Genomic DNA, 12,599 nt, shown 5'->3' on the forward strand with positions numbered 1-12,599 from the left:
CTTTTATAACAGGAAAAATTAATATTATGTATGCTTCAGTTTCCTTATCTGTAAAATGGGGATGATAGTAATAATATACACCTCCTAGGATAGTTCTAGTAATTAAATGGAAAATGCTTTCAAAGCTCCTGGCACAGTGTCTGGCATATGGAAGCACTCAACAAATAACAGGTGTTTCTTTCTTTTTTTTTTTTTTTTTAAAGAAAGCAGAGTGTGATTTAGTATATGAAATTTAATTTTCTTCTCTCTTAGTTGTAGTTCATAGAAAATGATGATATTTCTAAGTGTCTGTGAAATAATAAGAGAAAATGAGACTTGCATATTCTGTTCCATAAAACAATGATGGCAATGCTATGGTTCGTGAAAGGATTCAGGGTAGGCCTGGAAGGCAAAATCAGGTTACAAACACACACACACACACACACACATGAATCATAAACACATGTAGACACATACAATACCTGCATACATACACACACAAAGACACATGATAGCCACACACATCTGCATAACACACGCACACACAAAGCACAATACTACACACATACATGTTTAATATTCACACAACACACACAGACACACACAATATCCACAGAGATACACACAATACATGCACTCACAAAATATAAAGCTGCATGCACACACAACACACATACAGAAATCATGAACACATGTGGAAACACACAATATCCACATACATACCTACCACAATTTTCAGCACCTGAGTAGATAGTACAAAGAATTTACTTCTGTCCTTTCTTGCCAAAACCTAGGCCCCTTTCTTCTGAAACTGTCTTATACGTTTTTCTTAAAAATCTGTATTCAAACATTCCCTTTAGTAAAATAAAGTGATGGTTCAACCCAAGGTGCCTACGGATTATGTTTGTTCCCATCTTGAGCTCTACATTATGGATTCCTCATTCCACGTACAATAAAATCCATACCTAGGTCTGCATAGTTAGACTTGAAAAATTGCTTGCGTCCACAAAAGTACAGCTCAAAGTCAGTTTCGTTTGACCTGCGCAAAGTGTATCCATTTTCAAGAGCAGCAAAAGCATCACAGGTATAACGGTAGGTAATGAAACCATAGCTGTCTCTGCAACGGACAAAGAAAAGTTCAAAGCTGGTTAAGAAGTATTAGTATATGGGACTGTAACCCTTTCTACTTTGTGAGACTTCTCCAGTGCCAACGTCTGAGCCACTGAATCCATTTATCAGTGTGATTGTCCTGTCAAGCAGCTAAATACTTATTTCTGGGACAGGAAATCTCAACTAGAAAGATTAATAAACAGGGATGAAAGAAAATAAATAAGGTTCTGAACTCAACATGTCATCTGTCAAAGCACTTACATTGGCAACTCCCATCCCAGTAATCTTATGGCCATAATTTTTTACATACGTCAGCTTCTAAACAAGAAATAATCTTGAAGATTCTCACCCATCATCCCGCAGATTTACTGTGCACTCCTCAATTTCACCAAAAACTTCAAAACGGTCCCTCAGTTCTGTCCGTGTTGTGTCAGGTCTGATTTTACCGACATAAATCACACGGCGCTCTTCCTATGGGGGGAAGGAAGGAGAGAGTTCTGGAGTGGGAAAAAAGCTAGCCCTCGGCCGGGCACAGTGGCTCACACCTGTAATCCCAGCACTTTGGGAGGCCGAGGCAGGTGGATCATGAGGTCAGGAGTTCAATACCAGCCTGGGCAAGATGGTGAAACCCCATCTCTACTAAAAATACAAAAATTGGCCAGGTGTGGTGGTGGGCACCTGCAATCCCAGCTACTCAGGAGGCTGACGCAGAGAATTGCTTGAACCCGGGAGGCAGAGGTTGCAGTGAGCTGAGATTGTGCCACTGCACTTCAGCATGGGCGAGAGAGCGAGACTCCATCTCAAAAAAAAAAAAAAAAAAAAAAAAAGCTAACCCTCTAGAAACATTCATAAATGTACAATCATGCATAAGAAACCCCACTGAGCATGGCAATTAGAGCAAAACATACACTACAATGGAAGGAAAGACTACATTTGAACCAAGTATTAATTCCCATTTCTTCAGTATCAATCTCTTCTTGCTCACATAGATTCTTCTCTTCACCTCTACTCTTTTCTACCTTTCCTATCTGTCTCTGTTCTACTCTCAGATGAACTTGATGTGTTAGAAAAGAAATCTGTATAGTGCATTCTTTTTTCAAATCATGGAACAATACCTATTAAATATTTGAACATTTGTGACTTGATTATGAATCAAAATTGTTATGAAACTGACCTGGCTTACAAAACTATTACATTTCTCATTAACTCAGAATTCTAATACTGAGATGAACAAACTCTGACGTCCTCAAAAGAGTGGTTCTTAAACTCTACTATACATAAAAATTACTTGGGGTGCTGATTAAAAATGCAAATGATTGGGCTTTATCTAGTTGTACTAAAAAAAAATGTAAGATAAGGTTCTACAACCTTCATTTTTAACAAGCACACCTCAGCTATTTTGATGCAGGTGGTCCAAAGACAATAATTTAAGAAATACAGTCTTAAAATGTAGGCCATTTTAAGCCATGAGTCTCCGAAGAATAAGAGCTAAATAAAAGAGGCTATAAATTTCACTTTGCCAATAAATCTAGTCTTATTTTAGGAACAGACTAGAGGGGTGTGGCCTAATTTTCACAAGTGGAGTCAATATCATCATAGTCTGAAAGTCATCAGTAATTTATAACCTACAAAATACAGGAATAATATTTATAGCCTGAGGATAAATTCTTTTTTTACAGCACAGAAATGCATTCTTAGTGTAAGAAGCAATCCTATACCTCTTGTTCCAAGAAGATAAGGCCAAAAGTTATGATGTCTCTCAAAGTTTTAAGAACATAAGGAGTTAATATAAAGAATGTGCTCACCAACTAGTTTGTATGTATACTAAGGACAAACAATGATAAAATGAATTTAAGGTTGCAGAGATTTAAGCTAGGTTGAAGCAAAGACTAGAAGCAGAGAACTGAGGTACAGACTTAGCTTGCCCAAGAGTTTTCTTTGGATGTACTGAGAGTCCCTGGTCTTGGGTGATGAAAAGAGTAATTTGGACTGAAAGCAAAAAGATGCCCTTTCTTATTTACTGAATGGTTTTCCTTTTCTTATGCCCAGTATTTGGCCAAGAATCTGGTAAGGAGTAGGCACCCGACAAGCATTTGTGAAATGTAACTGAACAATTTGCAGACCCTTTATCTTCCTGGATGATAAGCTTACCAATGTCTGGTCTTATTCTACCACATGTAACATGCTCGCCTCTATTTTTTATTAGGAAAGTAAGTTCATCTGAGCCTCAGGTGCAAATAATCAACTGTCTACTTGACATCTCAGGTTGGTTGTGCCTGAGGAACCTCACACTACACCAACATTACCGAAGCCCGACCCTCCAGCCTTGCCCTCTCCCCATTTGGTTCTTTCCCAATGTTCTTGTATTAGTGAAATGAACACCATCTAGCCAGTTATTTAGGACAGAAATTTAACTACCTCCCTTTACTCCTTTCTCTTGTTCCTCTCCACATGTCTAACCACTCAAGTCCTATTAATTTTTATCCCCTAAATCTCTCTGTAATCTATTTTCTTTATTCCATTGTCCTAAGCCAAGCCTCCAGCTTCTCTTTCTGGACTAGTATAACAAACAATCTCCTAACTTGGATCTGTGTCCATGTTTATTCTTCTCCAATCTATTCTTCCATTGTTGTTAGGATAGTCTTTGCTAAGGAAACAGGAATCCAATGACGTCCATTAACTTCTAAAATATTCCAATGGCTTCTCATAACTTTTAATGAAAGACCTAAATCATTAACAAGACCTACAAGGCCCTGTATGGTCTGGGCCTGTTGTCATCATGGGCTTTATCTCTTATATCGCATTCTTTCTGTGACTCTCTTTTCCAGCCACACTGAGCTTCTATTAGTCTAGTATATACTGTGCACCTTCCTTCCCAAAGCCTTTGCACATGCTCTTTCCCTGCTACTGGGACACCCTATTCACACTGCACCACTCCCAAGCCTCTCACATACACACACTGTCTACAACAACCTTAAGCTCAACAATCACATTTTTTCTGAGACTTGCAGTGAGGTCAGAATTCCTATTAGTTGCTCTTATGGAAAACTCTCCTTTCCAATTGTAATTAATAGTTTATCTACTGTTTAATGTCCACTTCCCCAGGATAATAAAAGCTTCATGACAGTAGAGACCATATCTGTTCTATTCACTACTGTATTTTAAACAAAGCATCAAAACATAACAGACTATCAATGAATATCTGCTATAAAATCAATCAGTTACTAATCAATTAATCATCTTGAACACTTATCCCATTCCCTTCATTACATCAAAGATGCCTAAGAGTGGTCCTTCTTCTCTGAGACTCTCCAATACAAAGGAGAAGGGAAGTTAGATTTGGTGTTTTATCACAGAAAAAAAAAAAAACCTTGCTCAAGTAGCTCAGCTGAGTGAAGAAACAAAGATTTCCATAATTTGTTTTTACAGATTTAAGTGTAAGAAGTAGCTACATGTTTGCAGGAATCTCACTCATAAAAATCACCTCTGAAAATCAAAGGTAGGAGATAACAAACAGTTGGTAAAACAGAACTCTACGAACAATAGCATTGAGACTAAATAAATGACCAGATGAAGCAGAGTAACCAGTGCAGGCTGCCTGACGCCCTTCCATGTAGATTGTATGTCTCAATTGAAGGCTGTGATTGTGCCACTTCAGAGCACCGAGCACATCCTGGCAGTCAGAAAGTAGAAATGGATGAAGAGGCACATCCCAGACCATCGATACACACTTGAGCAAGGGAATCATAACACCACATTCCATTCTGTTTATGCAGCCAGCTCTAGTCAAACAGCCAAATGTGATGGGACTGCTATCTAAACTTAAATTTCCTGGCGCCTGCTTTCACGGGTGTTAAGGAATTTTTTTTTAATGAGCCTTTTAGAAAAGTTACTACTGTATAGAGAGGAGGGGGAAGTGCAGAAGTGAGAGAAAGAAATTGAGACATTGCAAAGAAATTGCTCAACTACCATTATGGGAATAAACACAGCCTATGTATTCAAGGAAATTTGAAGTTAAAGCGAAAATCGACCATATGTATGCCCATATGCAGACATACTGGGACAGTCTCTGAATTGCAGCTTTATACGAAGTTGTATGCAACAACGATCCCATACAAAATATAAACCAGAGGACCTTTTATAATGGATACTGATACATTCTACAGTAAAAAGAAGATATAACCTAGAGGGGAGAAACAGGAAACCGAAGGGGTGTTCCACAATTACTTGAATTACCTATTTTTCTACCATCTCTTTTTATGAAACACAGGAATGGGGCCATGCCTCACTACCTTACAAAGATCAGAGATTGAATACATGTTGAAAGGCTTATTTGAGAAAATTATTGAAGTGCTTGATTTTCCTACTGCTAAAAATGAAAATAAAAGGCATCCAAATGCCTAGAAAGCAAAGACAAAAATCTTTCTAAGATTGGCCAAAATGTCTAGCAAAGAACTGATTCTTTTAAACATGTTGCAGTTGTATTAGACAGATGAATAGATTTCATATCTTTAAAAAAGCTTAACATTTGCAGCCAATTTTTCAAGACATTAATTTCTAAACAGGAGATGAAAGGAAAAGAAATCAAAATGCTTAATGACATTTTCAACTTCTTAAAGGCTTGGAGGAACTCTAAACCTTTGGAAACAGCTCCTCGAAAAATGATTTTCGGACCAGTTTTCACTATTGAGGAGGATGGTACATTTATCAAATAACTTTTAGCTTCAGTTTTCATAAAAGCTAGTACGCTGATGGGGTGGATAATAAAATTGAAGACTTACATTGCATTAACATCTATAGTAAATCCTCACTACACCAAAACGTGGGGGATAAATAAAGAAACAAGAAACTGACTGAATTAACTGACTTCACATTACTAAAATCTTTATCAAAAAGAGTCTAGAGCTTCCCAGTTACTGGAGGAAAACATACAGTGGTTGTTTCTCATCAAATAAACTACTCCTGATAAAAGGGGTTTGACAAAGAAAAGACAGAAGGTAGTAGAGAGATGAACATTTGTTGAACTCTTAGCTATGCCAAGTACTGCATTTAATGCTTTTAATGGGTGATCTCTCTAAAATGTCCTTTAAGGTAGGTAACAAGGAAGAGCTTGATATAATGTAGATTTCAGCTCTCTACGTTTGCAAGTCAGAATAATGTAAAAATCTTTTTTTCTATGCTAAGGAAACTACATATCAACTTTGGCAGTGAAATACTAGTGTTCATTCCTAGATTAGCTGTAACCTGACTGCCTCAAAAATTGCAAAGATATTATAAATTGAGTGTATGGTGTATTCCAACTAAAAGAAGAGGTGAGTGGAGTGGAGGGTCATGGAAAGGTACAGATAGAAAGATATACCAAGATTCTAAAAAATGCTGAGAAGTGTTTTTCTTTCTTGCCGTTAATATTGATTATCTAACCTAATTCATTAGGTAGTCAATAAATGCCTACTACTAGGGGGTGTTCTTAGAGAAAAAACAAAATTGTAGCATTAAATTTGTCCAAAGTGTCCCCCATTCACGTACCGTGTGCTACTATCCCTGCTTAGTGTCTAAGTCTGGTTAATGTGAATAAGTCCAGGTTAGTCTATTTAAAAGGTAAGATGCAAATAAAAGCTAACATGCAAGTAAACATACTGGTAAGTCAGAAAACATGAAAATTATAGAATAAGAGTATGCATAACTACTTTTTAAAAAAGCTTCACTGAAGCATAATTGATATATCAAAAAACTGTACATATTAAACATATACATTTTGATGGGTTTGGACATATGCCTATATCCTTGATACCATCATCACAATCATGGTACTATATGTATCCATCACCTCCAAAATTTCCTTGTGTTGTGTTTTTTTCTTTTGTGTGTGTGTGTGTGTGTATGTGTGTGTGTGTGAATAACATGAAATCTATCCTCTCAACATTTTAAAGTGTACAATAGCATAATTAACTATAGGTACTATGTTGTATAGCAGATCTCTATAATTATTCATCTTTCCATAAAACTGAATATTTCTAAATATTGAACTTAGAGTCACAATATAACATATACTCACCCACACAAAATATCTCTTTAAAGAGGCTTGCATAGAAAGCTATTTCATTTTCTCCAAAAAAGAATAACTCTGAGCACTTTGGGAGGCCGAGGTGGGCAGATCACGAGGTCAGGAGATTGAGACCAGCCTGGCCAACACGGTGAAACCCCGTCTCTACTAAAAATACAAAAAATTAGCCGGGCGTGGTGGTGGATACCTGTAGTCCCAGCTACTCGGGAGGCTGAGGCAGAAGAATGGCGTGAACCCAGGAGGCGGAGCTTGCAGTGAGCCAAGATTGCGCCACTGCATTCCAGCCTGGGAGACAGAGCAAGACTCCATCTCAAAAAAAAAAAAAAAAAACCCTGAGTAATTGCACAATTTTTTTCATTTCATTTGGAAGAAGTTTATAATTATCAGCAGTACTACACTGTCCCTGGCTTCTGAGCTGGACACTGACCAACAGAGAAGTGAAGCAGCAGTCATTGCCGCCTGAGCACATCTAGTTTTGGTTTTGAGTGCTGAGCCATATCACAATGTCTAGATTTGCCCTTTAAATTAACATCCCATTATCATGTTTTCTGGCAGAAAACTGTACAGATTGCAAATGGAGTTGGACTTAGAACTCCACAAGAAATTAGAGCAGTGACAGTTTAGACACTAAGTACTAAACTCTGGTTTGCAGAGTCCCAATATAACCTGAATTATTTCAAGCTTACGAGTCTGAGAAAGGCAGAAAGTGAATTGCTTTTTGAGAAAGAGTCAGGATGGAAATTACAGGAAAGTGCCAACTGAAACAATGGTAACATTCAACCACAATATAAGATTTTGCATTGGTAATTACTAATTATTAGTGTTCTCTTTGTTTTTGGATTTGGCTCACTCAACTTGGGCTGAATTAGGATTTTAGAAACATAAGCAATGAAAAGTTTATAGATCTCCTAAAACACCTCCTACTTATGGAACTCAAAATAGAAGTAATGCAGACAAAGGTTAAAAAGATGACTTTAATTTTGTAAAATAACAATTATTAAATTTCTGAAGGTTTTTTTTTTCATTGCCTTTTGGAGTCTCTGTTTTTCTGGTTCCCTAAATATATGATTGCTTTGATTAATGAACAACCCAACACTGACCCCAAGATATCTTAAATGTAATTTGCTTCTTACTCATTACTTTAAGGTTGTTTCAAACATTGAAAGAACATCATGTACCTGACCAACTTAAGTCTGGACTGTCCTTGTTCCCTTAGCTCTTCTATGTATGAATTTTCAAGCTAATTTTTTCAAATCAGTTAAAAATCATTGCATGTATCCCTGCACTCAAGTCCATAAAAATATACTTTGGGGATGCATTATGGTACTAGAAAGCTAACTATTTGGAGGAAGGGAATCAATAAAAAAAATTCATGTAGGTAAACTCATTAAATAGTTCCATGATGCCTTCAAGATAGCTTTCAAAATCTTTAGCATGAATTATAGGACCCTTTAGGCTATCTTCCACCATTCCCTCTAGACTTATTTCTTGCCCCTCTTGTGTCTCAGTGTTCCAATTAAACGACTAGTAGTTTCTCAATATACCTTATTCTTTTTTAGAGACTTAGTATAAGCTATAGCCGCTGTCTAAAAAAGCAATGTCCAGTAATCATACAATGCAGTATGTCATGTAAAATTTTCTAAGAGCCACATTTTAAAAAGTAAAAATATGAAAAATTCAATGTTAATAATATATTGTATTGGTCTCAACATGTCCAAACTATTATATCAATTTGTGATTGATATAAAAAGATAAATGAAGTATTTTACACTATTTTTTTATACTAAGTCTTCTAAATCCAATCACACAGTGCATCTTAATATGGCCCAATCAAATTAACCGTGTGGCTAAAGGCTACCATATTGGATGCTGCAGGTGGAGAAAATCTTTGTCCTTTCTCCCTTTAGGATTTGGATCAGTCTTATACCCTCTCTGAGGATGTTCTCCTTCATATATAGATCTGGATGCCCCCAATATACCACCCCAACAGTGCCACAGATGCACCCCTTATAATAGCACTTATCACACTGTATTGCCTGTTTGTGTATTTTTATCTGCCAGTATGGTTGAAGCTCCTTGGATACAGGGACGATGTCTTTCCTAATTTTATATCCCAACCAAATGGCAAATATTTATTACAGAAAGAGCTATGAGCTTTCACTCATGTTCAATAGAAACAGCATGTAATTGTCCAAGTGGAAATTGGTTAAACAGTAAGTCCCAAATCTTTATTAAGCACTTATCACTTATAGTCCACTCTGTTGGTAAACAATCTCTATGTTCTAGGTTTCCTTCAATCTACTTTTCAAAAACAAAAGCGAATTTTAAAGCCAAAATTCTCACAAATGTCTAGTTAATGTAAAATGATTTAATAAAAATCAAGTTGACACTTGTATTACAAGTGCTCTTTGGAAGAGAACTGATACAGATTACTTTCATCTAAGAATTAACAGAGGAACTAGTCAACATTTGTAACACAAAGGGACAACAGGGTAGCATCTGCTTCCAAGCTGAGGCTGGTGACCCTCAGGGTGATTTTGTGTCATCTAGACCAATGACACTACTTGCTCTATCTGTAAAGGGCCGAACTAGCAACAAAAAAGACACCTCCCTTCCTTTCTTTATTAATATCTGGCACTTAATCATCTTTAGAAGGCATAAAATAAACACATCATTTATTTACATGCTTTTGATTAAAATATTAATCTGGCTTTAGTTACAACTGTGTTGTGTCATGGCCATATAAGCAAATTTATGATGAAACTATTAATCTTTCTCTTTAATGTCCTATTTTTGGGGGAAAAATGAAGGATTTTATAAAATATAAATTTGCAAACACCAAAATAATCATTTTCCTACATGTTCGCTCAGCATGATTTTCTTTTGTAATGATTATAATGTGCCATATTAAAAGGCTTTGTAAATTATATGGCACTATATAAATGTGAGTTATTATAATTATTGAATAGGCCATTAATTAAATACAGTGATATTAGAAAAATTGAATTTTAATTTTCATTAGTCTTCGTAAGTGTTAACTAATGACACTTTGGCAAATCTTAATATCACTGCTCATTTGGAAGTTGAGAAAAATGAGGCAAATTGTTGTAATTTGCAAAATGCCTTTGAGTCAGTCTTAGGTAGATTCAAAGTTAAATGGCAGCAAACCCTCCAAAACTTTGACCTAAGTGTTCAGTTACTTCTCACTTATTTCTCCTTAAGTGCCTGTGTTGAACAAATCTCTCATTTAACCTTTTTCCTCCAGCTGGTAACTGTTGGCCAATGCTTGATTTTGATTCCATTAGTCAGCTCTTTTATATAGCTTTTGCAAAATTGTGTTGATGTTAGTGAGTTTTTTTAAAGATAACACATAAATCTAACCTTTACAGTCAAAAATCATTTCCCTAAGCCTTGGCTAGCTTAGATGCAAGATATGTCAAAAGCTGATCTTCACTGAGCTAACTCTGAGTGGCTAGCACACAGGGAGCAGCTGCACTGAATAAAAGCAGTGCTATATCTCATTGATTAGTCATGGCTCCCTAGAGCATCATGTCAGAAAAGACCGTAAGGCTCTGAGGGGGCTCAATGGGAAAGAGTTCCATTATCGATTAGGAATGTCTGCCATGGGCATGGGCTGGATTTTGACAACTGGACTGACTTATTTTTGCCATCCAAAGTCTAGGTTGATAAACAGCGGTAGGGAGTTGGGGTAAAGCCTACCCACTAGTCAGCAGCTGCTGAAAATGAGGACTGATCTTCAGACAGCAAACAAATATAACATAACGTGGATCTTTACACAGAAGGGTCAGCACTGTCTATATGTCAAGTTAATATAATACCCCCTGGTAAGTGGTGCTGAAATCCATAAAATGTCATTGAAAAGTAGTTCATAAGAAATGTGGGTGTGTCAATTACCCAGTTAGATGACGACCATCACGCAGAAGAAATGACTTTTTTTTTTTTTTTTTTTTTTTTTTTTTTTTTTTTTTTTTTTTTTGAGACAGAGTCTCACTCTGTCACCCAGGCTGGAGTTCCGTGGTGCGATCTCAGCTCATTGCAACCTCCACCTCCCTGGTTCAAGCAATTCTCCTGCCTCAGCCTCCCTAGTAGCTGGTATTACAGGCATGCACCACCACGCCTGGCTAATTTTTGTATTTTTAGTAGAGACAGGGTTTCCTGTCTCCTATGTCGTTTCCTGTTTCCTATGTTGGCCAGGCTGGTCTCAAACTTCTGGCCTTAAGTGATCCACATGCCTTGGCCTCCCAAAGTGCTGGGATTACAGGCATGAGCCATCGTGCCTGGCCAGAAATGATGACTTTCTTAGCAACTCTTCCTCCACTGCTCCTTTAAATCCAACTTGAACTCAGTCTCTTCATGGACAATTTAAGTCTCCTGCCGGCCAAAAAGACAAAAACTGAAACGAGATAGCAATCCCTCCTCATTTTCCGCTCAAAGAGAGAAGTAACAGGAAACAGAAAGAAAAACTTATCCTGTGATCAGAAAGAACAAATATCTGACTGAAAAAAAAATCTCTACTCCCTCCATTTTTCAAAACAGAAGGTGAAAACAGTAATGAACTTCAAAATGAAACTGTGAGTGAGAAATATACTGACTTAAACATTTTGTTTTCCAATAAGTTAGGTCAATGGGGACCGAAGACTTATGGATATTTTAAAGCCAAAAGGCTGAAAATGGCCTGTTCTAACAAAGACTTAGCTTTTGTTTATTTTCTAATCTATCACCAAAAAAAGCACACAGAAAAAGAAGAAACCCTACTTTAAAATAAAAGTGAGCTCCAGGCCACTTACAATTGCCTTCTGCCTCTGCCTCTCCCTTTGCTTGGCCCTCTCAGACTCTCGCTTCTCATACTCTCTGCGATATTCTTCCCTCTTCAGCCTCTCGTGCTGATATTCCTCGTAGCTGTCATACCTGGGAAACATAACTTTATCACTAAGTCAACCACCTCAATTTTCATGAGCAAAATGAATAATAATATGGGGAGGGGTATAGGGTTTTGGAGAACATCTTGTCATCTCAAGGAGGGGATAAAGGGAGCTAAAGGAAAATGACATGCCTCATTACCTGGGCCGACGGCTGTAGGGCGATCTTGAACGTGATCTCACATACAAGGGAGAATTTCGGTGCGTGCGGTGTCTGTAGTGGCTTGACTCATAGTAATAGCAGGATCTGCGCCAGAGGAGAAAAGCAAAAAGGGCATTTGCAACTGCCACTTAACCCAAGTTTATCGGCACTGTGGAGCATCCTCTGGGACACTGTATTACAGAGACTGGCTTTTTCTTCCCAGCTACTAGGGAGATTTCCCAGTGACAGTTTGTGATCATCTAGTCAACTTAGAGGGCTGGGAGTGATGTGCTCTCTCTCAGCGTCTCTTATTGATGTTAACACTGAGCACCAGGTCTGGTACACTGTCAGCTTTATCTTGCAT

At 37.4% G+C, this 12,599-nt stretch overlaps 1 protein-coding gene across 28 annotated transcripts in view; it reads right to left on the minus strand.

Moving 5' to 3' along the window:
* The window catches only part of PPARGC1A (PPARG coactivator 1 alpha), a 680,885-nt gene that overhangs the window by 8,765 nt on the left and 659,521 nt on the right, over positions 1-12,599 (minus strand). For 23 of the 28 annotated variants that reach the window (NR_148982.2, NR_148986.2, NR_148981.2 and 20 more), the window contains 4 exons: positions 12,236-12,340; positions 11,962-12,082; positions 1,439-1,560; positions 945-1,096 (listed from right to left, as the gene is read on the minus strand). Coding sequence is in view for 21 of the 28 variants with exons in the window: in NM_001354825.2 (NP_001341754.1) it covers positions 945-1,096; positions 1,439-1,560; positions 11,962-12,082; positions 12,236-12,340 (500 nt within the window). In the remaining 7 variants the exon portion in view is untranslated. Of the gene's footprint in view, positions 1-944; positions 1,097-1,438; positions 1,561-8,113; positions 11,546-11,961; positions 12,083-12,235; positions 12,341-12,599 lie in introns of those variants that run through there. The other 5 variants (XM_011513769.3, XM_047449552.1, XM_005248134.5 and 2 more) reach the window with 3 other exon arrangements.

This window comes from Homo sapiens, chromosome 4 (assembly GCF_000001405.40).
Source record: "Homo sapiens chromosome 4, GRCh38.p14 Primary Assembly".
Taxonomy (NCBI): Eukaryota; Metazoa; Chordata; class Mammalia; order Primates; family Hominidae; genus Homo; species Homo sapiens.